This window comes from Homo sapiens, chromosome 7 (genome assembly GCF_000001405.40).
Source record: "Homo sapiens chromosome 7, GRCh38.p14 Primary Assembly".
NCBI lineage: Eukaryota > Metazoa > Chordata > Mammalia > Primates > Hominidae > Homo > Homo sapiens.
In genome coordinates, this window is record NC_000007.14 from 91,359,596 (window position 1) to 91,382,140 (window position 22,545).

Below are 22,545 nucleotides of genomic sequence, written 5' to 3' on the forward strand. Positions count from 1 at the left end.
TCCAGCTCTGATGCATGCACCCACAGCATGCATCCCAGAGAATCACCCCAGGTGGATTCTTTCTTTTTTCTTTAGTCCAAGTGGAGCATGCTCAAGCGCTGCCCAGGTCTGAGGTAGCACTTTGGAGCCCTGGTGATGCCCTGCTTCTTAATATATGGCTGCCCTTGCTGGGGCATACAAATTCTTATAGCCTCTTACTGGTGTCTAGCAGCTCTGAGGCAAGGGTACTGTAGACTAAATGTTTGTGTCCCCCAAAATTCATACATTGAAATCCTAAGCCTACCATGTGACGGCATAAGGAGGTAAGGCCTTTGGTAGATAATTGGTGGAGTCCTCATGAATGGGATTAGTGCCCTTATACAAGAGACCCCAGAGAGCTCTCTGTCTCCTCTACTGCATGAGGACACAGTAAGGAGACGGCCATCTACAGATCAGGAAATAGGCCCTCACCGGAACTCGACTGCACTAGAATCTGACTTAGAATACCAGCCTCCAGACTGTGAGAAATAAATTTCTGTTGCTTAAAAGCCACCCAGCATATGGTACTTTGTTATAGGAGCCCAAAATGACTAAGTTGCAGAGGAATGGAGAATGTAAGAGCAGGCAAAGAGAAAGAGAGAATAAAATGAAAACCTGCATTGAATCCAGCTAGCTGGTTATAAAATTTTAAGCAAATCACTAAAATTTTCTCCATGGTTTTGGCTTCCTCAGTTGCAAAAAATGAGGGCAAAAATACTTAACTCACTAGGTTTACTTGATAATTAAATGAATTAAAAGAATGTATATGGAAATGCTCTGCAAACTTTAAAAAGCAAACACTGTTTATCTTTTCAGCAGGGTATTTTTATTAATAGTCAAATTGTCACCTTGAAGTACAAATGTATCTCTAAGAAGTGATATTCATTTCATTTTTGTATTCAAATTATAGCATCTGCATTAATAGACTAAGAAATAGCCATCAGTAATGTTAACAGGAGTAACAGGTAGGATGTCTGAAATCATGACTTTTCCCTAGGATTACCCAGGATTCATTTATTCACCCATCCAGATGTCCATCCATACCCTATGTCCATTAATTAATTAACTTAGCAAATATATTTTTTGAATACTTTTTGTTGGTTTTAGAGCAATTCTCGGCAGAAGTTCTTAAGAGGATTCAAAGATAGACTTCAAGTGATCTCTGAACCTCCTGATCTTGTACGGAGGGGAATGTATGGGTGACTTCAGCTATCAGATTCTCACAGGACTCTGCAAAACCCCTTCTTTAAAAAAAAGGTTAAGAGGCACTGCTTAGGAATGTGTGGAATAAAAGAATATAAAAAGTTTATAAGATAATTTGGGATTGTCCATGTAGAAAACTGCAAATTAAACTGACAGCAGACTCCATATTAGCAACGACAGATGCCACGAGATGACAAAATATTATCTTCAAAATGCTTAGGGAAAATGGGTATTAGCTAAGAATAATATACCACACTAGATTACTCTTCAAAGGTGGGGTGAAATAAAGAGGCATTTTTAGAGAAACAAAGGTTGAGAGAATTTATCAACTTGAGGACTTCACCAAAGAACTCATAATATATATACTTCTGGAAAAAGGAAGTTTAATCCCAAAATACAAAGTGGGGTGCAAGAAGGAATAATGATGAACAAAGAAATTTGTAAACATGTTTGTAACTCTAAGAAGCACTGTTTGTTTTAAAGAGGATCAGTTAAGGGGTTATGTAAATAGCAAGTAACTAAAATGCTAGATGACAACAGCAGGAACAAAGGGATTAAGAGAGACTAAAATTACAAAGTCCAAATTCATTTAATTATTTGGGAGGAAGATAGACTTAGGTTTACTTTAGACTTTAAGCAAGTGTGCTTTCCAAAATTTAAGAGTAACCCTCAAAGAATAGGGGGAAATGTAGGACTTCTTTTACGTGAGAAAAAAAGATTAAAAAACACTTGATTGTTCTACTTCTTCACAGCAAAAGAAAATATCAACAGAGTAAACAGACAACCTACAGAATGGGAGAAAATATTTGCTAACTATGCATCTGATGTAGGTCTAATATCCAGCATCTATAAGGAACTTAAACAAATTTACAAGAAAAAAAATACACAACCCCATTAAAAAGTGGGCAAAGGACGTGAACAGACACTTTTCAAAAGAAGACATACATGTGGCCAACCAGAAGAAATGAAATGAAATATGAAGAAAAAAGCTTAATATCACTGATCATTAGAGAAATGCAAATCAAAACCGTAATGAGATACCGTCTCACACCAGTCAGAATGGCTATTACTAAAAGTCAAAAAATAACAGATGCTGTCAAGGTTGTGGAGAAAAAAGAACACTTATATGCTATTGTTGGGAGTGTAAATTAGTTCAATCATTGCGGAAAGCAGTATGGTGAGTCCTAAAAGAGCTAAACACAGAACTACCATTTGACCCAGCAATCCCATTACTGAGTAAAATCCCAAAGGAATATGATTGTTCTATCATAAAGACACATGCATGCAAATGTTCACTGCAGCACTATTCACAATAGCAAAGACATGGAATCAACATAAGTGTCCATTAGTGGCAGATTGGATAAAGAAAATGTGGCACATATATACTATGGAATATTGTGCAGTCATAAAAGAGAACAAGATCATGTCCTTTGCAGGAACATGGATGGAACTGAGGTCATTATCCATAGCAAACTAACACAGAAACAGAAAACCAAACACTGCATGTTCTCACTTATAAGTGGAGCTGAATGATGAGAACACATGGACACATTAGCAGGAGCAACACACTGAGGCCTGTCGGGGGCAGGGAGTGGGGAGGGAGAGGACCAGAAAAAATAACTGTTGGGTACTAGGCTTAGTACCAGGATGATGAAATAATCTGTACAACAAACCCTGGTGACAGGAGTGGGCCTATATAACAAACCTGCACATGTGCCCCTGAACCTAAAATAAAAGTTTTTAAAAAAGGAAGAACACTAGATTGCTCTAATAAGGAGCAGGAAAAAGAAAAATAAGCTAAGAAAAGGCATAATAAACACAAAAAACATATAGTAGAAAAAGTGTAGATATATCAGTAATCTCAGTAAATGTGAACAGATTAAACTAGTGTGTTCAAAAATGGGGACCCTCAGATTATTTTTAGAAAATAAAATTCATCTATGTGTAGTTTTTAAGAGGGATACCTAAAACATGATAATGCTTAATGGTTGAAAGGTATGGAAAAAGACAAAACAGATAAAGACTAACATTGCAAGGAAAGCAATATTAAGGCATAAAAGTTTAATTTGGAATAAAGAAGGTCATGATTCAACGACTAAAGATTAATTCACAGGGTATCAATAGCAGTGCTGAGTCTGTATGTTCCTAACAAAATAGACTCCTAGCTTATCAAATAAATTGGACAAATCCACCTTAATAGAAGATATTTTTGCATGCCTCTTTCAGAACCTGATCAAATATTGATAAGGATATAGACATTTTAAACACCATAATTAACAAGCCAGATTAAAGAGACCTATATGGGAATATGTATTCCTGAAATAGAGAATTTACATTACTTTCAAGCACACATAGAAAACAATGACCACATATCAGACCACAAAAGAAGTCCCAAGAAATTCTAAAGAATCAATAACACAACCACATTTTCTTTCTACAATGCAATAATATTAGACATCACAGACAAACTACTGAAAACCAATGACAAAGAAAAAAGAATCAACACAGCCAGAGAAAAAAGACACATTAAATACAGGGACAATAATTAGAATAACTGTTGACGTCAAATGCAATGAAAGCCAGGAGACAATGGAATGACAGCTTTTAAAAGCTCATCATCTAGACCAAACGTGGTGGCTCACGCCTGTAATCCCAGCACTTTGGAAGGCCAAGGTGGGTGGATCACTTGAGGTCAGGAGTTTGAGATCAGCCTGGCTGACATGGTGAAACCCTGTCTCTACTAAAAATACAGAAAAATTAGCCAGGCGTGGTGGCATGTGCCTATAGTCCCAGCTACTCAGGAGGCTGAGGCAAGGAAATCTCTTGAACCCGGGAGGCAGAGGCTGTAGTGAGCCAAGATTGTGCCACTGCACTCCAGCCTGGGTGACAGAGTAAGACTCTGTCTCAAAAAACAAACAAACAAACAAAAATCTCATCATTTAGAATGTTATATCCAGTGAAATATTTGTAAATATTAAAGCAAAATAAAGACATTCTCAAGCAGACAAAATCTGAGAATATTTGCACCAGGAGAATTGACTACAAAAAAATGCTAAAGATTTTACATTTTAAAAAAGTTTAAATCTAAAAATGCTAAAAGTTCTTCAAAGGGGAAATGATATCAGTTGGAAATTCAGATCTATGGGAAAGAAGGAGGAGCACTGGAAGTGGTAAATATGTGGGTAATTATAAAATACTATTTTTTCTAAGTTTGTTAGTTAAAACAAACGATATATTATGGAGGGTTATAACATAAGTAGTAGTAAAATATGTGTGACAACAATAGCACAAAAAAAGGGCCAAGGTATAAATAGAATTGTACTGTGTTGCAAGGTACTTACATTATCCATGAAGTAGTGCAATATTAATTCAATATAGACTGTGATAGGCTAATATTAATTCCTAGGAAAAGATACAAATAGGTATAGATAAGAAGCCAACAAAGAAAAGAGAATGAAATGCTAAAAATTATTTGATTCACACACACACACACACACACACACACACACACACACACAAGACGAACAAAGAGGACCAATAAAAAACAGATAGAAAGATGATAGACTTAAACCCAGTCATATTGATAATTAGATGAAATGTGAATGAATTAACTATTCCAATTAATAGGCAGAGATTGTCAGACTGGAAAAAAAAGCAATAACAACAACTAAAACCCAACTATATGCTATTTACAGGAGAGATACTTTAAGTATAAAGACAGAAGTTGAAACTTAAGGCTTGAAAAATACGTACCATGCATGCACTAAATGTAAGAAAGCCAGTAAAACCAAATTAATATCAGACAAAATTGACTTCAGGACAAAGAGTATTACGAGAGATAAGGAAGTCCAATTCATAATGATAGAACCAATTCATCCAGAGACCTAACAATCTTAGATATGCATGCATTTGCTATTTAAAGTGTATATAATATTGAGTTAATTGGCAAAGTTGTTCCCTGCTTTTTTTTGTGGAAGAGCTCCTATCCTTCCTGCTGCTGTTATATACTCAGGAATGCTGTGATGATGGAGATGGTTTAAATGATGTTTATAAGGTATTTAATTGTATATGCAATGTAGCTAAATGGTATGTTTCTTCCTGCCATGAGTCTATATTTGGATTTCAGGTGATAATTGTTTGTTTCTTTTTAAATTTGAAAATTAAAATGTTACTGTTTTTATGACTGTGATCCCTAGTTCATGGACCGTATTTAGAGATCTCCTTTGCAGGTTTCTCTAGTCAAGAGTTGTTGTCAGTGGCGTGTGAACCAGAGCAACTTTATCTTAAATAGGAGCTGGGTAAAATGAGGCTGAAACCTACTGGGCTGCATTCCCAGACAGTGAAGGCATTCTAAGTCACAGGATGAGATAGGAGGTCAGCAAAAAATGCAGGTCATAAAGACCTTGCCAATAAAACAGGTTGCAGTAAAGGCGCCGGCCAAAACCCACCAAAACCAAAATGGTGACGAGAGTGACCTCTGGTTGTCCTCACTGCTACACTCCCACCAACGCCATGACAGTTTACAAATGCCATGGCAACGTCAGGAAGTTACCCTATATGGTCTGAGGAGGGGAGGCATGAATAATCCACTCCTTGTTTAGCATATCATCAAGAAGTAACCATAAAAATGGGCAACCAGCAGCCCTCAGGACTGCTCTATGGAGTAGCCATTCTTTTATTTGTTTACTGTCTTAATAAATTTGCCCTGAATTCTTTCTTACGCGAGATCCAAGAACCCTCTCTTGGGTCTGGATCAGGACCCCTTTCCTGTAACATCGTGACATTAGAAAAAGGCTGGGTCAACAACCCAGTACAGTCTATGTCGTGGGGTCAACAACACAGTACATACAGTCTATGTCGTGGCCATAATGTACCCTGTGGTGGGGCTATCACTTTGATATTTCTTTCTACACATTATACTACAGTTGGTCCATGCGTTGCTAAAATCCTGACATTAAAGCAAAGAGAGCAATCGGTAAGCAATTTTGATGCTCTACCATGATAACAATCACACCTGAAAACACATTGAGTCATCCGTTATTAAACATTTCCCGAAGTGTATGCTATGAAGTTTAATTTGCCATGGAGTTGTTTGGAAAAAAGAATTAAATGCAAACTATAGAAAGACTGTCATATTTACCCAACAAAATGAAAAAGGAGACCTTTAGGAAAGGAAAAGGAGAATTAGAGATTCTTTGAATTCAAAAGAATCCCTGTCAGTCATCTCAACCAGCAATTTCCAAATTTAATGAATACACAACTCGTCTGCAAAGGTTTTTAAAGTGCAGATACCTGGGTCACATTCCCAGAGATTAAAATTAATGGTTCATATTATGACCCAGGAATCTAAATTTTTAAACAACCTCTCTAAGATTATGATGCAAATAGACCTCAGACTACACTTTTAGAAACAGTAATCTAGTTTCAACATATCATACATGACAGGTGGCTTCCAGAAAGTTTATCCTTATTCTGAGCCAAGTCTGCCTTTGCCTTCTGTATGTTCAGGCTCTTCCTTCAGAAGCTACACAGAATAGCTCAAATATCTCTCCTATTATAACAGCCCTTCATATTATTTGACATGGTAATCTGGCCTCCTTAACAAACCCCTCTTTTTCTCTCCAGGCTAAATACTCCCAGTTACTTTGACATTTTCTCAAATAGTATGATATTTATAAACATCACCCACCATTTGCTGTGTGTGTCTAAAAATGCAATATGAGAGCTGAAAAACATATTTCAATTTATCTTCACCATCAAAAAATACAATGAGGGCCATTACCTCTCCTTGTTTGCCTTTATGCTTTTAAACAGGTAGTGTACGTCCTCTAACTTTGTCTTTTCTTTAAAGATGTTTTGGTTATCGTAGGCCCTTCACATTTCTATAAAAATGTATGAGCAATTTCAAGTTGTCCAAAAGAGTCTGCTCGGATTTCGGTTGTATTGCCTTGAATCTGTACATCAATTTAGGTAAAATTAGTATTTCAATAATATTTATTCCTATAGTTCATGAAAAGGGTATATCTCTCAATTTATTTGGATCTTCCTGAATTTTTTTCTGCCATGTTTCATGGGGTTTATCCCCCAGTGGTTCATGTCTTGATGTTGTTGAAAATTTTAAAAGGAAAATTTAATTGTTCATTGCTAGTATTTTGAAATATAATTAATTTTTATATGTTGTGTCTTGTAACTATGCTAAACTCGCTTATTGGTTCTATTAGCTTTTTAGCAGATTCCATAAGATTTTCTATTTAGATTATAATGTCATCTGCAAATAAAGACAGTGTTACTTCTTTTCCAATATGGATGCCATTTATTGTTTTCTTGTCTTATTTCACTGATAAGAACTTTTGATACAATGCTGAATAGAGTAGGGAGAGTGGACATCCATGCCACCTTTTCCTAGTCTTAGAGGGAAAACATTCAGACTTTCACCATTAGGTGTGACGTTAGTGTTAGTTGTAGTTTTTTGTAGATCCACTTTATAAAGTTGAAAAAGTTCCCATCGATTCTTTCTTGGCTGAGAGACTTGCTTGTTTTTCTTTTTATTTATTTGTTTTTAAAATTGGGAACAGAGTAGGGACTGGCACACTTTTTCTATAAACGGACAAACAGTACACATTTTAGGCTTTCTGGGACATACATTGTCTCTGCCATTTCCTCCTCCTCCTCCTCCTCTTCTTCTCCTCCTCCTCCTTCTTCTTCTTCCTCTCCTTTTTCTTCTTTCTTCTTCTTCTTCCTCCTCCTTCTTTTTCTTTTTTCTTTTTCATACAACTGTTTAAAAATATAGAAAGACATTCTTAGCTTGTGGGCCACAGAACTGTAGTTTGCTAACTCCTGACCTAGACGTTTGTTATACCTACAATTTCACAGTTAACACTAAGGACAGTAGTATCAAATTGCTAAGCCTCCACCTCCTCAGTTTTGGGATACCAGAGGAATAGAATGAACTGACAACCTAATTTTAGTCCTTAAATATATTACTTTTTGTTAAAGTATTCACATGAAATGATCATAATCTTATCTATATTGACTCATTAACATTGACAGATAAGACTAATGGAAGAGGATATAGGTATTATAAACATAATTGATAATTAGAATGCCTTTTGCTCGTCTACAAAATTTCTAGTCATTAGAGTAACACATTCTGTCCCCTGTTGGTCTGGATGGACCAGCCACGAACACTCTCAGTTCTTTCAGTTCCTCTACCCCCTGCAAATCTGGATGTTAAAACACTCATCTGTACTCACAAACCAACTAAAGGAGACTTGCTTTTCTACATCAATTTACTTGCGTAGTTAGAATAGAAAAATCCAAAAGAACAAAATACTTACATTTTCCGCTATGCTTTCATATTTTAAAAAATATTTTCAGCAGGACTAGTTTGAGCTCTGAAAACGTCTTTACCAGAACAGGGAAGTTTTGAAAATAGTTTCCACCATCATTTGCTTGTTTGTTTGTTTGTTTGTTTGTTTTGTGCTTTTGTTCCTTTTGGTATGCAGCCCTGTGAATTTCAAAACATGTAGATATATGTAATTACCACCATAAAAAGCACACATGCCTCACACCCCAAAATCTCCTCCATGCTGTCATTCTACAGTCACAACTTCCCCCTCCTCCAGCCCCTAGCAACCACTGATCTGTTCTCCATTACTATAGTTTTGTCATGTAAATGGGATTATAGAATAAATAACCTTTTGAGATGGCTTCTTTTACTCAGCATAGTGTCTTTGAGATTCACCCAACTTGTTGAACGTATCAACAGTCTATTCCTTCTTATTGCTGAGTAGTATTTCATTGTAGGAATGTACCACAATTTGTTTAACCATTCACCTGTTAAGCAACAGAACATTTAGATGGTTTTACTGGTAAAGCTACTATGAACTTTCATATTCAGCTTTTTGTGGAAACATAAATTTTTATTTCTCTGGGATGAACATTCAGGAGTGGGAGAGCTGGATCACTAGTAAGCATATGTTAACTTTATAGGAAACTGCCAAACCACTTTCCAAAGTAGTTATATCACTTTGCATTTATGCCAGCAATGTATGGGAGTTTTAGTTGCTCTATATCCTGGTCAGCACTTGGTATTATTAGTATTTTTATTTTAGTTATTCTAGTAGGTATGTAGCAGTATTGAATCATGGTTTTAATTTGCATTTCCCTAATAGCTAATAATGTTGAATATCTTTTCATGTGCTTATTTGCCATACTTATATCCTCTTTGGTGAAGTGTCTGTTCAAGCCCTTTGCCCATTTGTAAATGTTGTTGTCGTCTTTTTATTGAGTTTTGAGAGTTCTTTATATATACTGATACAAGACCTTTGTAAGATATGTAATTTGTAGTATTTCCTCCTAGTCTGTGGCTTATTTTTTCATTCTTTTGACCATGTCCTTAACAGAGCAAAAATTTTTAATTTTGATGAAGACTAATATATCCAGTTTTTATTTTATGGATGGTATTTTTGGTGTCATTTGGGCTCATCATCTAACCCCAGGTCATAAAGATTTTCTCTTATGTTTTCTTCTTAAAGTTTTGTAGTTTCATGTTTTATATTTAGAGCTAGGCTCTATTTTGAGTTAATCTTTGCATAAAGTGTGAAATTTAGGTCAAATTCATGTTTTTACATAAAAAGATAAATTGTTCCAAAACCATTGATTGAAAAGAGTATTCTTTCTTCATTGAATGGTTTTTGTCAACTGCCTTTGTCAGAGATCAAATGGCCATGTTTGTATAAGTATATTTATGGACTCTATTTTGTTCTGATCCACTTGTTATCTCTTCACCAATTCCATTCCACTGTTTTGATTACTGTAACTTTATAGTAAGTCCTAAAAATTTTACTTATACGTAAAGAACTCCAACATTATTCTTTTTTCAAAATTATTTTAGTTTTTCTAATTTCTTTTCTCCCATATAAATTTTAGCGCCAACTTGTTTATATCTACAAAAAAAATTGCTGGGATTTTGATTGGTATTGCTTAAAACTATAGCTCACTTTGGGAGAATTGGCATCTTTATTATGTTAAGTCTTCCAAACAATGAACACTGTATGTCTCTCCATTTATTTAGATCTTCTTTGATTTCTTTCATTAGCATTTTGTAATTGAACATGTAGCAAATATAGCATGTTAGTTATGGTTATTATACAGTTACAGTTGCTAGATTTATAACTATTTCATTTTTAGAACGATTTTAAATGGTATATATTTTTCAATTTTAGTTTCCAATTTTCATTGCTTCTATATATAGAAATATATTGATACATGTATATTGACCTTTTATTCCCACTCTCTTTATAGAATCCATTAACAAATACTGAATAGTTTCTCATGTTACTCACTCTCACCAGAGAAAGCAGAGTATCAGACCCCTGAGGCTAGGACATAGCATAGAAACAGGACAGGAAGGAAGAATGGTGCATGTGGAACAACCTAGGCTTTAGGTAAAATCAGACAGCTCTAGGACCCTAGCTTGTCTTCTCAAATGTGTGACTTTGGGCAATCTTGTGTAGGACTGGCATACTGTAAGTTCTCAGCAAGCAATAGCTTTCCTTGATGAAGAGAAGACGGAAAAGCCTAGAGCTGTCATTTTCAGATTTTTTTTTTTTCCTTTTTAAGCATTGGAGCGTCTTCATTTTTTTTTTTTTTTTTTTTTTTTGAGACGGAGTTTCACTCTTGTTGCCCAGGCTGGAGTGCAATGGCACAATCTCGGCTCACCGCAACCTCCGCCTCCTGGGTTCAGGAGATTCTCTTGCCTCAGCCTCCTGAGTAGCTGGGATTACAGGCATACACCACCATGCCCAGATAATTTTGTATTTTTAGTAGAGACGGGATTTCTCCATGTTGGTCAGCCTGTATGTCAAACCCATAAAAATGGAACTGCTCTACCAGAGTGGTAGTATCCTGGCTGTATTTGTGTGAGTCTACTTCTGGACCTTACCCTATCTCTTTAGCAATTCCCACTGTTCCCTAGAATATCAGGGAGCACTGTTTGAGAAAAAAAAATTGTTTGCAGTATTGATATAGGAAACCCTGTAAAGGTGGCCAGACTCCAAAGGGTCAGAGCAGAGCAGTATGTGTAGCCTTGCTACTCAAAGTATAGTTCCTGAACCATCAGCATCACCTGCATCCCAGGCTCATCTCAGACATACTGAATGAGAATCTGCATTCCTGTTGTAATTGTCCAGCCAATCTGTGATCTGTGCACACCTTAGGGTTTCAGAAGCTCTGGTACAATGTGAGGAGTAGAGAGAAAGCACACAATAGAGTCATCACAAAATGTGAGGCATACCAAGAGAGTGCAACTAAATTTTGCCAAGGCTGCACTCCATTAATCTTCTTTAGAAATTTAATAATTTGTATGCTATTATTAGCATTTCTCAGATGTCTTCAGGGAGTATGAGTTTATTAAAAGGAAAACACATTTTACTTATCTTTTCACTTTGACCCTTCAGACCCATTTTTGGATTTCTAAATTATCTTTTTATTATGTCAACAACTTCTACCCTCATGAGGATTCGTGGCTTGTAATTATTTTGGTTAAGAAAAACAAACTTTCCTGTCACAAACAGAAAATCCATAATAATCTGACTCTATAATGTGAGTTGTTAATGAAATATTAGCTATTTGAGTAAAATGGTACTACACAGCAATTATGAAACAAGAGAGAGAACACCCAGGCAAGAATCTCTACTTCTTTTCCACAGAAGTGGCTCTGCAGCTTTTCATCTAACACTGGTGTTCTTTTCGTAAATGATTGATTTTTCCACATCTGAATACTGATAAATCTATAATCAAGCTCTGATGTTAATATTGTGCCAGGATGAAAAACAGAATAATAATGACACAGCAGGGTTACAACATTGAAAGAGAAATTGGGAATTCAGCATATTGAAAAGGGGATTTATTATCTATTTCTTTTGTGATCTGACCTGGAGTCCAGAAATTGCAGTATCCTTCCAGTCCCTTCATCTATAAAGTTTGGATGAGTTATGATTTTCAAACTATTCTATAGCTATGGAACCCTTTGTGCAAAGGAAATTATAAATGGCAGCTCTATGTATGAAATAAATGAAAAAGGGACAGCAAGCTGATGTGAACCAGGTTTGAAGCTCATGGGCAAGTTGCTCAGGTGTTGTTGAGTTCTGAAAATGGGGCAGTGCTTGGAAATCAGTGGATTGAAGACAGCTGGTATTTACCTAAATGATTTTATATTTATTCTTCATTTTAAAAAAATACCAATTACAAAGATGAGGGGAATCTCTGTTAAAGCAAGCGGGCCTGGCTGTCACTAGGTTAATATCAAGTATATCAAATGCCATCGGTTCTGTCTGAGCAAGACATTTGCCATTCTTCCTCTCCTTGCAGTTCCCACAGCCACCGTCCTAGCTCAGGCAAATAACAACTTCTGCTGGAAAACTAGAACAGCCTCCCAAATAGCCTCCCTCTCCACCTCCAGTTCTTTGGAAGACAAAGCCAAGGTTCATACATACCAAACAGGTAGGACATCCTGCAGTTTGCTCATGGCTTTGTTATAAAGGCCCACTACCATGGAGAACAGAATTCAAAATCCCTTGCCTGCCATGAAGAGCTCTCCTCTATTTCGTCTCTAATCAGCTTTCTCTTTATCATTGCTCCCTTTGGCAAGCACTGTAATCTAGTCAACGGTAGCTATTCTCTCTTTCTAATCTGCAACCTACCCAGTGTCTTTCTCTCACTACTCCCTTTGTCTGTTACATCTTATCTTTCCTCTATATTGTCTAAATAATACCCACCTTTCAAAGACTCAGTTAAAATGCCACCTCCTCCCTAAAGTCCTTCCTGAGTTTCTCTCTCCTTCCAAAGTTCTCCCTATCCCTGCTCCTCAAGCTAGTAATCGCTCTATTACTATATATATAGATCCCACTCTGAGCACGTATTCAGTTCCATTTTGATTATAACTCTATACATCTAGCTCATTTTATATTATTATTGTTTTCATTGCCTCTCATAGTGGCTCCTTAGAAAATGCATCATATCTTATTCAATTCTGGATATCTCATGTTGTGCAGCATATGCCAGATACTTAGCAGATATTTGGAGAAAAATTATAGTCTGTATTTTACAATATGATAATTGCCTCCCTGAGAAAATCTGTTACAAAAACAATTGTTTCAATAGGAAAAAGGGGTTACAGCTATTAAATGTAAGTCCATAACAAAATTATTTTTAACATGAATTTCAAGAATGAGGTTTTGAAATAACTCTACATATATGTTGTTACTGTAAGCAGATGTGTATTGAGTAAGCATAACTCTCTCAAACAACTTGTTGAAATGCATTCTTCTCTTGCTTTTAACTCATTCATCAGGAGCTTCTTGATCTCCTTTATTACCCTTGATTCTGAATTTGGGCTTTTGCCGACAACACAGTTCCTAACTACTCACAGTGAACCAAATATAGGGAGGGAAACTGAAAGACCAGGATGGAAAAGAGAAGTCAGTTACCCAAAATAATTATGAGTTTCTTTGCTTTGCACAGGAAATTTAAATTATGATATCATCATCCCCCACAGGAAGTATTGAGAAAGAGAGAAATTTATCCCCCGCCAACCCCATTTCCATTGGCATTCTGACCTCTCTTCCCTTGGGTATTGTTGGGGGCCTCTCTCTTTACTCATCTAATTCCCCCCTCCCAGTTGGAGAAAGAGTGGGCTGACTGGTCAAGGCTTATGTAGTCCATGGGTTCTGGTTTTAGCTGTGAGCCATCTGGGTACCACAGCTGTTGAGCTCCTTTCCACTCCCAGGCCCACAGCTAATTGGGTAAATGGATTTGGAGCCTGTTTCTCAGATGCAGTCAACCTGTAAGGGAGATACTATGGCTTGGGTTCAGGAGCGTATTAGAAAGATTTCATGTTGGCCTCAGTTCCAAGCTGTGTTCTCTAATCCAGACGTTAGTAGACTCTGCATTTTGAGGGATGTGGGTATTTTTTCTACCCATAGCAAAGTCTATACTTCTTCCCTTTGGCCTGTTATCTTTATACCTATTCTCTATCAGTCAGAACATGGAAGGGAGGAGAGGTGAATCTTAGGCCCTCCAGCCTCTGACACAAATACTCCCTTGCATTTGTGAAACATTTCATAATTTATAAAGCATGTTTACTTCTAGTAGCTCACTTGATTTTCACAACCCTGAGAACTACCTTAAGATCTTCCTAGCCTTGCCCATGACATTTTCAGTGGCAGAAGATCCAAGTCACCAACACCAGGAAAATGTTCTTTTTATCCATCCTGAAATTGGGCCTTGGCAGTGACTTGAAGATTCCTTCTCTCCTGTTTCCTGTGAGCTACGGCTGGGAATTTTCTTTAGCAACACCCTCAAGCAGAGCTTCCCTATACATTGGGGGACAAAGCCGCATAAATAGAGTAAGATGCCCACGAAATGCACGTGAGATGAAGTGACAGGAAAAAGAAGTGTAACTTGTAGGTGATTAGCTTGGAAATCCAGCAGCTAGGGCAGAAATGCTGGAAAAGAAAGAGGATTTGAAAAAGCAAGTCCTTGTTCCCTGGTTCGTCTGACTTCCAGGTGATCAGGAGAATCTAATTTTAAAATCTGTAATAAAGTATAGTATACACTGGTAGTAAGGAAGGAAGAGTTGAGGCTCTTGGAGAACTGGAAGTCTATTTGAAGAAGCTGATGATACCTATTGACACAGACACTGGAAAGCAGTTAAATATTAATGAACCTTAACCCATGTATGCCTAGTGTTCCATTATTGGAATGCTAAGCTTGTGGGAGTTATTTATATCCTTCTGCTCAAGGTCATTGCCAAGGTCTGATTTTTCACACAAAAAAAATTTGAGACCTCTGGCATAAATGGGTTAATTCAAATAGGAATAAAACTATCTCCTATTTTCTTACTCCTCCCCCAAGCTAATGCATACTGCTGAGGCTACCCAAGACAGATAGATACAAAGGCAGCTTGAGCCAGTTTCCCATTTATTTTCTAAAGGCAAGGAGGCCCCTTCTGAAATTGTTGCTTGGCAACCTTGAATTCAAATCTTCACCATTGGAGGCCACTCATGTAATCCGCAGACAAGACTCCAAAGTCTTGACTCATGTGATCAGTAGGTATCATCATCTTCTTCAAATAGTCTTCCAGTTCTCCAGGTGCCTCAACTCTTCCTCACTACCAGAGTATACTGCAGTTTATTACAGATTTTAAAGCACATCAGTGAATACATGCCTTTTAAAGCTGGGCTCTTGGGCTCTGACTGCTGTCCTTGTGGTGGGCTCCACTTGGCATGTTTTCCCTCTGTCTTTCCAGGCTAGCATTTACCTGCGTGGTTTTCTTGGGTTTCTCCTGTGTGGATTTCTCACATAACACCTTAAGGAAGAAGAAAAGAAAATGAACACTTATTGAGCATATATAATTTTTCAGGTAGGATGCCAAGTAATTTAAAAAGTTATCACATTTATCCTTACCCCTTATAGTAAGTCAAGGAAGTCAAGGCATTACATGGCATCTCACATTTATAAAATGGTCTTTCTTTATAATTCATTTAAATTATTACTTCATTTCATCTTCACAGTTGTTCTGTTGTGAGAAGGGCATGATTCACATTTCAGATCATGTGAAAAAACTGAGATCCAAAGAGGCTGATCAATACAAAGAGAGTTTTGAAAGAGCTAACACTTGAGCCCAGATTAGTATCCATTCTAGGAAGCTCTGAAAGGCCTACTTCCATGTAAGACCCACTCTGAAGGCATGCGAAGAATGTAGCCTTCAGAATCATCCAGATGTGGCAATTCAAGTCCTGGCTCTGCCATGTCCTAGCTCTGTGGCCTTGGTCAAGTCTTTTAACCTCATACCGCTCTGGTTACTTTATCTTAACTGGTTACTTAAATAATTCCTATCTCATAAAATTGCTGCATGATTTAAATGAGATACATTTTGCCATGTGCCTGGAGCTTAATAGTTTTTAAAAAACAAATGCTCATTTCCTTTTCTATTCATCTTCTAGAGCAGGTAATCATAAATGGAGGCATAGACAGGTGAAAGGTCCTGGATCAGAATCTGGGATTATATAGTCAGCAATGTGAGTACATGTTTATTAAAAGGGGGAACACCTGTTAAAAGTTGCAAGATGCTCTTCCAGGATGTATGAATCTCAAAATATGTAATTAACCATTATATTGAGCATTTTCCTCATGCGAGGCACCATGTTGGGTGCTGAAGGGGATATAAAAACATGGTCCTACCTTCAGAGAGTGATCTTTGGTCTGCCATGAATGTCTATTCTTTTTCCAAAGACAACTGTAGAAGGAAGTACAGATTCTTAGATTCTAGGCTACTCTCATGTCTCTAAGCAAGTATTCCATCCTTGTGTGGTTTCTCAAGGAGTTTTACTGCAACAACAGGGTCAAAGCAATAAAAGATGAAGTTTAAAAGTTAAAAGAGACCTTTATAATCTTCCATTAATAGTACCCCTGGCAATCTCTCAGAAGCAGGGTTTGCTGGGTCTCTCTCAGCTTTTGTCTTCTAGTCTAGAGGTCAGCCAGGCCTGCTTGTTCTAACATAGTTTTTTAAATTAGTGGGTCATCAAGTCAATTTAGTAGGTCTTGGCCAGCATTTTTTAAATAAAAAAGACCAGAACAAATTAGAAAAAAAATCAAAATGCCTTGTATTTTATCCTCAGTAAATGTGATTTTTTTCCATGAAACAGCCTGTATAGGATATTTTTTACCACAGGTAACCAAAAATGTTTGAAAAACATGTTCTAAAAAACAAAGTCTTACAAATTATAACTGCCAGGAGTGTTTGTGGAATAAGTGGCAGGTTTCAGTCTTTAGGTTTAAATCTAGCACTTTGGAAGCTGTTTCATTCTAGGCATTGTTAGTAAAATTTATGTAGCTGACATTAGATAAAATGGTCTTCCCTTCTGTTGGCTACATGAACCAATCAGGTAGATTTCCTCCTGATGTCATATTCATCTCTACCACCACCACAACCACCACGGTCTCCTCCTACTCCCACAGGAGAATCTCTCTGGCAGGGCCCCTTGATCTAGTCCCTTACAGGCTGATGGATCCTTGCTCTTATTCTCTGCATCTCCTGCAAATGGATACATGATCAGTCCATCACCAGAAATAACTTAATCTAACTCATAACTGCTCAGAAATCCATATAGAGTTCAAAAGATAGGGCAGATTTTGTTGCCATTCTCATTCTCCACAAGCCACCTTCTGCTGTGTTTCTATGTTTCTGCCTTGTATGGATGCCTGGGAACACCTTCTTTCCTGGGATTCCCTCCTCTTCTTGGATAATTCAGTTTCATTCTGCCACTATGCCTTATACTCTAACCAGCCAACCCCACAAGCTGTCACCATTCAGATCCAAATCAACAATTTTTTTTTTAACTTGGATCTTCTCATGGTTCAGAGTAGAATTGTCTTAAAACTAAAACCTTTCTCTGACTGATCCTGCTCACTCCTCTAGACATAACTCTAATACGTTGTTATTTTTAAAAGGGACAAAAGACATGAAGTGGACAGAGCACACCTGTCTTATCTCATTAGACTGGGGATGTGTTCTCTGCATCACAGGAGGTCCCCACATTGGAAAGTCTGTGAGCTGACATTGAAATTTCAAAAGAACCTATGCTTTTAACCTACTGAATAATGTTTGAACCAAAAGATTCTTAAAACATAGATACATATTAGTTCCCTCCCAATGTCCTATAGTTCTATAGTTGTTCAGATAAGGAACTGTTGGTGATGACTAGAATGACAACAGAAGGCTTTGTGGAGTAGACGAGAACTGAACCTGAATAGGTGGGCAGAAGCAATGTAAATAGGACTTTGTATGCAATTAGGACAAATAAAGAAAGCAGAAAGGAATCAGGAAGCCCTGCATGAATGAATGGACCAGCCTGGTGGGATGGAGAGATGGATTGGAACTCGGTAGTGAGGTAGCATGGAAATGCAGATTAAGACCAGATCCTCAAGGAAATACTTGAGTGCCAGGAAAAGAAGGGAAGCCCTGGTTTTTTAGCAAATGAAAGTCTTGATTTTGAGCCAAGCTTTCTGAGCAAACCAAGGCAAATGAAGCCTTGGTATTTGAGCCTTGGATTTAGAGAGATTAACATTCTAGTTTGAGGAGCAGGATTTGGTACAAAGAGACATCCAGCAAAGACAGACCATAGGAAGAGCCACTACAGTAATCCAGAGTTGAGGTAAACGAGCACACCAACCAGAGTGATGCAGTGGGAACTGAAAGGGAAAAATAAATATGAAGGCTTTTAAGAGACAGCGCACCCTCAACTAGGGGCAATCTGATCAGCCGCATTGTATTTATGTGCTGTGTCTTGAACCAGTTAATTTGCCCTTCAGATGTGTCTTTCCTGAATATGCAAATTCTCATTAAGATACATGCCATATGCCTGCTTTGAAGCTAAGTCAGACCCCACCTAACGCTGGCCTTTACCTCTTTTTTCTCATTGGGTAATCAGCTCACTGAAGCAGATGTTACTTCCCAACTCCAGAGATGCCAACAGCCTCAGAAAGAAATGGATTATAGAACTGGGGTCTGCACTCAGCATGATCCAAATATGGAAATCAAACTGAGGCCTTCTTAGGCTCTGTGCTTGGCAATAAAAATGAAAAAGGGCTTAATGTTGGGCCTCAAAAGACACTGTGGTTACCAGGGCTTAGTGGGCACATTTACTTGCCCACAGAAGGTCTTGCCAATTAACACTAATGGTGTGCTTTCAATTTACCTTCACGGATTAATTTGACAAATATTTATTGGCTGCGTACCAGGCATCAAACAAGGCAGTGGGGATAAAAAGATGCAAAGGGCACAGTTCTTGACTTTGATAGAGTTTCCTGCTGAGTGGGGGAAGACAGACCTATAAACAAGTAAATAATATTACACTGGAGTGCTCTGCCCTCTGCTTGTCCTCTGAGCACCCAAAATTGTAATAATCTGATGCTGTAGAGAGAGAGAGTTTGGGATTAAGGTCTTCACACTGCATACTTTTCAATAATCACTTAGAAAGTCAAGAAGCCACATATAAATAAATACCTTACACTAAATCTTTTTTTGAATAGAAGCAAAAATGAAAACTGGCCAGGTGCAGTGGCTCATGCCTGTAATCCCAGCACTTTGGGAGGCTGAGGCAGGTGGATCACCTGAGGTCAGGAGGTTGAGACCAGCCTGGCCAACATGGTGAAACCCCATCTTTACTAAAAATACAAAAATTAGCCAGCCATGGTGGTGTGCACCTGTAGTCCCAGCTACTTGGGAGGCTGAGGTAGGAGAATCCATTGAGCCCAGGGGGCAGAGGTTGCAGTGAGCTGAGATCGAGCCACTGCACTCCAGCCTGGGCAACAGAGCAAGACTCTGTCTCAGAAAAAAAAAGAAAAAGAAAGAAAGAAAAGAAAGAAAGAAAACTTGCAATCAGCAAGTCCTCACTAAAATCTGGAAGGTTTCCCCAGCATGATTTTGCCTAGGGTCTTTATTTAACTGGTGTGGTTACACTGTCTAATGTTCCTTATTTTTCAGAAGCATTGAACTTCACGATGTGGAGGCCCCTATTCTCAGACCCTAGAGTGAGTCAGACTGCCCACGCTTAGTGGTGGAGAATTCCAACAGTCAGCAATAGGTACAGTGGGAACTGGAAAGAAGATAGCCTGAACTGTTAGTGAAATCCTTATGCAGGAGTTGTGAAAGTATAGTCTAGTGGGGTTTTGGCTGGGAAGTTTAGGAGAAATGAATAGCTTGTTTGTGAATATTTAATCTGCTCTGTGAATTATAATCATTTCTTTACAGTCAGAATCCTGTCCCTCAATAGGTATTTCTTCCCAGGGACCACAACAGAAGTACATCTTAGGAAAAGGTCAACCCAGGATCACCAAGTAAAGCACAGATTTTGTTGTTAGTCATTTAATTTATGCTCATCTGTAACGAACTGTTTGTCTTTGCTAAGAATTAAAACCATATATCATTACGAGTCTTTGCTTTTGTTTTACAGTTTTTTTATTTTTTCAGTTAAAATGAGGTGGTTTCTAGGGATGAAGGATATGCAAGGTTGAGATTGGAGAGGGCTAACAAAATGGATGTGGACTGGAAGTAAATGCTGTAATTATATTGGCTTTAAGGATTATTTTAAACCTTAGGAGGAAAGGAATGTATTGAGAACTTTGTTTGTTTGTTTGTTTGTTTGTTTTAATAGAAACTGTAGATAGCATGTCTCTAAATAGTTTCAGGTTAGTTTCCTTGAAAAGTATACTGCCTCGTTTCCTTCCTCATATCCTTGTTAGGTTTTGCTTAGTAATAATGTGAGGGGCCAAAAAAGCTTTTAAAGCTGATTTCCTTCACTTTGTAATTCCTTGCCAAGAACTAGAGTTCTGATTGTCCATGCCCTCTTCAGTCTCCTGGCTATTTATGAAAATATAAAATGAAACAAAGTGCACATGCCCCCTCCCCCCAACACACACACACACACACACACACACACACACACAGCATGCGAGAGCCTAGTGCAAGAGAGCACCACAGAAAAATATGTTCACATTAATTTAATTGCACTAAAACTGGAAGTATTCAGAGGAATAATAAATCCTATTAGATTATTTTCTTGTCCTCAAAGAGAGGTGCCTGCCAATCAACAGCCCTTTACAGAGAGTTAAGTCATACCTTGCAACTGGGCCTGCTAGAGACAGGACCTGGATCTCAAGCACCAGCCAAAATCTGTCCATGGAGGCTGGAAATGCTGAGGTGGAATCACAGGACTTTTGTGTTCCGTGGTTTTCAAGTGAACGTAAATAATTCAAACATAAATAATTCAACAGCTGTGTTTCACTCCAGTGGAGTCCCCCAAATATTCACCCATTCCACAACTCATTTAAAGGAGTACACACCCAAGTAATTAGTGAATTACCCATTTCAGCTTGTGTAGCCAGGTGCCAAGAGGTGGTCTTATGTAGATGTCAGGCGATTACTTAACATGTTGAGTTGAGGCAAATCTACAGTTTCTCTTCTTGCTGATCTTATGACTTTTTCTCTGTTAATCAAAAGATCCCAGAAAGTTGTATGAATCACCAAGGCACTGGAAAACATCAGTACAACACATGTTGAGTCCAAGGTGCCCAAGGTCTAAATTATTTTCTAGTAATGGTGTTTCCACCTAGCTTAACATATTAAAGCATAACTTACCAGCCTCCCAATAAGTCTAATCTGTCTCTTCCTGGGAGGATGAGAGAGAGAGAGAGAGCAGGAGAGAGCAAGAGAGAGTGAAGTCAAGAGAAAGAGAGAGAGAACCATTCTCTTTATTCAAATCCAAAGGGCTTCATTTACCATCTATTAGAAGAATTGACTTTCATATTCCTTGGAGTTCTACCCAAGTCAACCAGAGGGAAGGTTAAAGACTCACTCATTTAGGCTGGGTGCAGTGGCTCACACCTGTAACCCCAGCACTTTGGGAGGCAGAGGCAGGAGAATCGCTTAAGGCCAGGAGTTCAAGACCAGCCTGGCCAACATGGTGAAACCCCGTCTCTACTAAAATACAAAAATTAGTTGGATGTGGTGGTGCACACCTGTAGTTCCAGCTACTCTGGAGCCTGAGGCATGAGAATTGCTTGAACCCAGGAGGCTGAGGTTGCAGTGAGCCAAGATCGCACCACCGCACTACAGCCTGGGTGACGGAGCAAGACTCTGTCTCAAAAAATCAAACAAACAAAAACAACTCATTCAATAAATATTGTGGGGGTACCTACAACATTTCAGCCCTTACAAATTGTTAGTGGAAAAAGACAAATATAGCACTTGGCTTCATAGTCTAGACTTCCACAAATCTGCATTGTTCGCCCAGTAGAAGGGCTAGATTCAAATTATGCACAAGGAATTGAAACAAAATGAGGTATGCACTAAAAAGGTGACCAGGGAAGCAAAGGGTCTGGGGATGCCACATGAAGAACATTTGAAGGAAATTGGGAAGTTTAGGAACGTTGTAGATATTATTCTCTGTGGTTCAAGAGGGTATATCCAAGACAAAAAGGTGGTGGATGTCAGTTCAATATAGAAATGGTATAACATCTACAGCCATCCCAGAACAGAATAAGCTGCTTTGAAAGGTGGCAAGAGCTCCATTCCTGTGTTCAGGTAGCCGCCATTTCAGACATCACTACTCAGTGGTCTTGTGGAGAGATTTTTATTTTTCAAGTCTCACTCTCTCATCTAGGCTAGAGTGCAGTGGCACAATGATAGCTCACTGTAACCTTGAACTCCTGGGCTCAAGCCATCTTCCCATCTCGGCCTCCCAAAGGGCTGGGATTATA

General features: G+C 38.1%; 3 long non-coding RNA genes across 6 annotated transcripts in view; 1 reads left to right on the forward strand and 2 right to left on the reverse strand.

Annotated features, from left to right (window-relative positions):
* LINC02932 (long intergenic non-protein coding RNA 2932) overlaps nt 1-22,545 on the forward strand; it is a 204,101-nt gene that overhangs the window by 48,271 nt on the left and 133,285 nt on the right. The window lies entirely within an intron of this gene.
* LOC107986716 (uncharacterized) lies at nt 7,957-9,046 on the reverse strand. The gene is made up of 3 exons (XR_001744967.1): nt 8,919-9,046; nt 8,559-8,728; nt 7,957-7,995 (listed from the first exon to the last, which is right to left on the reverse strand). It is a non-coding gene; the product is annotated as an uncharacterized LOC107986716 (long non-coding RNA).
* On the reverse strand, nt 15,376-21,268 carry LOC101927473 (uncharacterized). 3 transcript variants are annotated; one of them, XR_001744963.2, is made up of 4 exons: nt 21,150-21,268; nt 16,468-16,614; nt 15,691-15,802; nt 15,376-15,592 (listed from the first exon to the last, which is right to left on the reverse strand). It is a non-coding gene; the product is annotated as an uncharacterized LOC101927473 (long non-coding RNA). The 3 variants fall into 3 exon arrangements; XR_001744964.2 differs by lacking the exon at nt 15,691-15,802 and having other exon boundaries at nt 16,468-16,522; XR_001744962.2 differs by lacking the exon at nt 15,691-15,802.